The sequence below is a fragment of the Homo sapiens genome, chromosome 3 (assembly GCF_000001405.40).
Source record: "Homo sapiens chromosome 3, GRCh38.p14 Primary Assembly".
Taxonomy (NCBI): Eukaryota; Metazoa; Chordata; class Mammalia; order Primates; family Hominidae; genus Homo; species Homo sapiens.
The window spans coordinates 106,876,850-106,881,856 of NC_000003.12; the positions used below are offsets into that span (position 1 = coordinate 106,876,850).

At 34.4% G+C, this 5,007-nt stretch overlaps 1 long non-coding RNA gene across 1 annotated transcript; it reads right to left on the reverse strand.

Annotated features, from left to right (window-relative positions):
- Positions 1–308: 308 nt before the first annotated feature.
- LOC124906264 (uncharacterized) lies at positions 309–5,007 on the reverse strand. Its single transcript, XR_007095993.1, has 2 exons — positions 2,141–5,007; positions 309–1,625 (listed from the first exon to the last, which is right to left on the reverse strand). It is a non-coding gene; the product is annotated as an uncharacterized LOC124906264 (long non-coding RNA).

Genomic DNA, 5,007 nt, shown 5'->3' on the forward strand with positions numbered 1-5,007 from the left:
GCGAGACTCCATCTCAAAAAAAAAAAAAAAAAAAAGAAGGAAAAAAAAAGAAAAAAAAAAAGAAGAAGAAAACAAGGAGTCATGCAGGCTGTGGAAACACAAAGAAACACACAGACACATTGTGGTTTCCCCCCTTAACCCCTTAAGTGATTACTAGTTTCACAGTAGAAATGCATAGCCCCCACACAACTCCCTGTGCATCCTCTTCCCAAGACAACCTTGGAAGGCAGTTTCTGTTTTGTTGGGATTTTTTTTCAATTGGCAGTTAGCTTTCAATTTTAAAAACATCTTCTGGCCACTTGTAGCTATCTCCAGAAATGACAATATCAATTTAATTTTATAATAAACAACTTCCTTATGACTAGAAAAGCAAATCGATCAATTAAGAAGCAGTGGAGAACAGGAAAAAAAAAGAGAAAAACAAAGAGGAAAGGTTTCTCTCTGCTTTAGGTCTATTTCCAATTACAGTTCAATCATTATTCTCAATTTTTAAAAATTCACTAAATATAAATCACCAGATTAAAGCTAGAATATGTTCTTATTGCCACTAGAAGTAAGAAGAAGAGGAAGGAAGGAAGGAAAGAAGGAAGGAAGAACAAAGAAAGTAAGAGACAGAAAGAAAGAGGAATGAAAAGAAAAGAAAGATTTATGTAAACTTCAAAGTGTTCAAAAATTTGAATGGAAGCAAATATATGGAAAAATACCACATGCTTATGGATTACTATTGTTAAAGTGTTCATGGTACCCAAAGAGAGACCAAATTCAATGCAATCCTTATCAAAATTCCAGTGGAAGTTCTAAGTTCTTTGAGAAATCTCTAAATTGCTTCCCACAGTGGCTGAACTAATTTACATTCCCACAGGCAGTGTATAAGCATTCCCTTTTCTTCACAACCTCACCAGTATCTGTTATTTTTTGACTTTTTATAATAGCCATTCTGACTGCTGTGAGACGGTAAATCATTGTGGTTTTGGTTTGCAGTTCTCAGATGATGAGTGATGTTGAGTATTTTTTTCATATGCTTGTTGGCTGCATGCATGTCTTCTCTTGAGAAGCATGTCTTCTCTTGGCTGCATGCATGTCTTCTCTGTTCATGTTCTTTGTCTATTTTTTTGACTATTCTAAGAAAATTTTGGTGGGGTTGTTTGTTTTTTCTTGTAGAGTTGTTTAAGTTCCTTATAGATGCTGGATATTAGACCTTTATCAGATGCATAGTTTGCAAATACATTTTCCCATTCTGTAGGTTGTCTGTTTACCCTTTTGATTGTTTATTTTGCTGTGCAGAAGCTCTTTAATTATATTCTACTTGTCAATTTTTGTTTCTGTTGCAATTGCTTTTGGAGTCTTTATCATGAAATCCTTGCCAGGGTCTATATCCAGAATGACATTTCGTAGGTTTCCTAGGGTTTTTACAGTTTTAGGTTTTACATTTAAGTCTTTCACCCATCTTGAGTGAGTTTTTGTATATGGTGAAAGAAAAGGGTCCAATTTCATTCTTCTGCATTGGGCTAGCTCCTAGCGTCACTTATTGGTGATGCTTTTGTTCTCTCTCTCTCATTCTTTTTTCTTTTCTTCTTTCCTTCCTTCCTTTTTTCTCTCCTTCCTCCCTCTTCTTCTTCCTCTTCCTAATGGTTATACAAAAATATTAGAGCTTTAGTTTGGTATTGGATAGCTAGTTCTTTCCCCATTGCTTGTTATTATTGAATTTATTGACCCAGTAATCCTATTGCTGGGTATATACCCAAAGGGATGTAAATCATTCTACCATAAAGACACATGCACACATATGCTCATCACAGCACTAGCAAAGACATAAACTCAACCTAGATGCCCATCAATGGAGACTGGATAAAGAAAATGTGGTACATATAAACCATAGAATACTATGCAGCCATAAAAATAGAATGAAATCATATCCTTTGCAGCAACATGGATAGAGTTGGAGGCCATTATGCTAAGAAAATTAATGCAGGAACAGAAAACCAAATACCACATGTTCTCACTTATAAGTAGGAGCTAAACATTAAGTAAACATGGACATTAAGAAGGGAACAATAAACAGTGTGGTCTATTGAAGGTAGAGAGTGGGAGGAGGGAGGGGATCTAAAAACTACCTATAGAGTACTATGCTGCTCATTACCTGGGTGATGAAATAATATGTACACCAAATCCCCATGTCATACAGTTTACCCATGCAACAAATCTGCACATGTACACCTGAACCTACAATAAAAAGTTGAAAGGAAAAATAAATAATCAATCAATTAAAAAAATCCAATGGCATTTTCACACAAACAGTTTCAACTTCCCTTTCTTAATTATTCGAATGTTATTCTTTTAGTTGGAGGAAAACACCCTTCATGTGAGAATTTTATCTTCTACTTTTAAAAAACAATGAAGGTCAGAGTAATCTTTTTGCAACTGCTATTTTTTAAGTTTCTTTAATTCAAAATAGTCAATAAACCAGAGAAGCATATTTTTGGGTAGCATATTCTTAACTCTTTCAATATAGTGGAATATTATTCAGCCTTAAGAAGGAAGGAAATCCTTTCCTTCATGACAGCATAGATGAACCTGGAGGACTTTATGTCAAGTGAAATAAGCCAAACACAGAAACACAATACTGCATGATCTCTTAAAAAGTGGAAGTAGAGAGTAGGATGGTGGTTTCCAGGAACTGGGAGGTGGGGGAAATGGGAAGATGCTGGTCAAAGGGAATGAAATTTCAGTTATGCTGGACGAATAAGGTCTGGATATCTAATGTCCAGCGTGGTGACTATAGTTAATAGTCTTCTATTGTACACTCAAAATTAGCTAAGAGTGTAGATAATAAACATTCTCTCCAAAAAAAAAAAAATGCTATGTGAGGTGAAATATATGTTAATTAACTTGATAATGATAATTATTTTACAATACATATGTATATGAAAACAACATGCTGTATACCTTTAATGTATACAGTATTTATTTGTCAGTTATACCTCAGTAAAGCTGGGGGTCAGGGGAGCAAAGGAGAACAAATATACTGACTCAAGTTTTGTGAGACCCAGTCTGGATACTAGTTTAGTGATTACTTTGTAGATAGACATCATCTGGAATTAGGCATATTGCCTTTCTATGTTTGGTAAATAAACAATATTAATCTAAATAGGGAGATTTATTTAGAATTAATATTACACATATTGCTTAAGAGAATAACAGCTACATATGAAGCACATTATACAAAATAGAGTTCCAACACAATTAATACGCTATTTACATGTATACTTTATTTAAACAACTAATTCTTCCTGACACAAGGAATTAGTAGGTTTGCTCATTTTTCTGCTCATCTCTCCAAATGACCTGTCTTTACTTTCTTTAAATTTCACTTTGCTTTGCCTTCACTCAGAGTGGAAAGAACTATTTTTATCCTTTAGGTACCTACTCTTTCTGATGGAAAAGCCTAGCTTCCTGCTAGAGTCACCAGAGAGACATTCACCTCAAGAAATAAGATTTCGGTCTCTAGTACACTTATAGTAATGCAAATAGAATCCAGTAGACCTCTGCCCTTTTAAATCCAGCAGCAGGAACCCAGCAGTTGTTCCTCACACAGCCCAGCTCAGCTGCCCACAGCACTAGTATTGCTTACCCACTTTTCTAAGAAATGGAGTACACTGTGGGATTTTTTGTTTTGTTTTTTGTAGTTCTTACTATCTTACAACAGGCATTTTATTCTTCTTAAAAACAATGAATTTATTTCAGTAAGGTAAATACATATGTGTCAGGAAGAACTTTTTTGAAATCATTTCTCTTTAAAATTTAGTCCTGACCAAATTTCTCACTGCCTGGACAGAGAAATAAACAGTAAAAATCATTACTATAAAAGGATCAGTAGACATGTACACATGGTAGAACCATGTCCCTAGGTTGTTGGTGGTGGTGTTTTGCTATGTTTTCTTTTTGGAGATGAGAAGGGTAGTCAGAAATATTTTCGATGAATGTAATCTTTAAACTTTAATTTAAAATGTGAATAGGAATTTCTTCTAGGTAGAGAAAGCAATTTCAAGACAACTTCCATTCATGCTTTCAATCAATTCTCCAGAATTAAAGAACATGAGAGTCCAGGTTTGAAAAAAACGCACTGAGGACTCCCACATGATAAATTAAAAGAGCTCACATCAAGACATACCATCATACTTTCTCAGAAAGTTGGCAATAAAGAGGTACAGTGATACACCCAGAGTGAAAGAAAGAAGCCCCATACAAAGAAATACCATAAAAAATGGCATCCAACTTTTAAAATGTTTCAGAAATCCAGAAAACAATTTGAGGGGAAATTATGTCTAACATAGTATTCTATACCCAGACATTTATCAATCAAATTTGATAGCAGAATTAAAATATTTCAGATATATAAAATAGATCAAGGTTTAGCCACCTTGCACCATTTCCTGGGAAACACCTGTGTATTATAAATTTTAAAACTTTATGTTTTCCTGTTGCATCAACATCCCCACAAACAGGCTCTGAGCACCCCACACAGGAAACCAGGTGCATGTATGTGATAAGTGCTGCCCTACCACTAGTTTCTCTTCTTGAAGGTAAGTCACTTGCTAGGTGACAAAACAAATTTAAGAAGACTGAAATCATTTCAAGTATCTTTCCCAAACCGCAACATTAGCAAACTAAAAATCAATAACAAAAGTAAAATGGAAAAATTCACAAATGGAATCTGTAAAATGGAAATTTCACAATAAATTCTTGAATAGTCATTGAGTCAAGGAAGAAATCCAAAGGGAAATTAGAAAATACCTCAAGACCGACAAAAACAAAAACAACGTGCTAAAACATAGAAGGCAAAAAAAGAGCAGTCCTATAAAGGAAGTTTAGAGATAAACATCTACAGTAAGAAAACAAAAAGATCTCAAATGAACAACCTAAGAGTATAAGTAAAGGAACTAGTAAAAGAAGACCAAGCTAAGCCCAAAGTTAGCAAATGGAAGAAAATAATAAAGATTAGAGCAA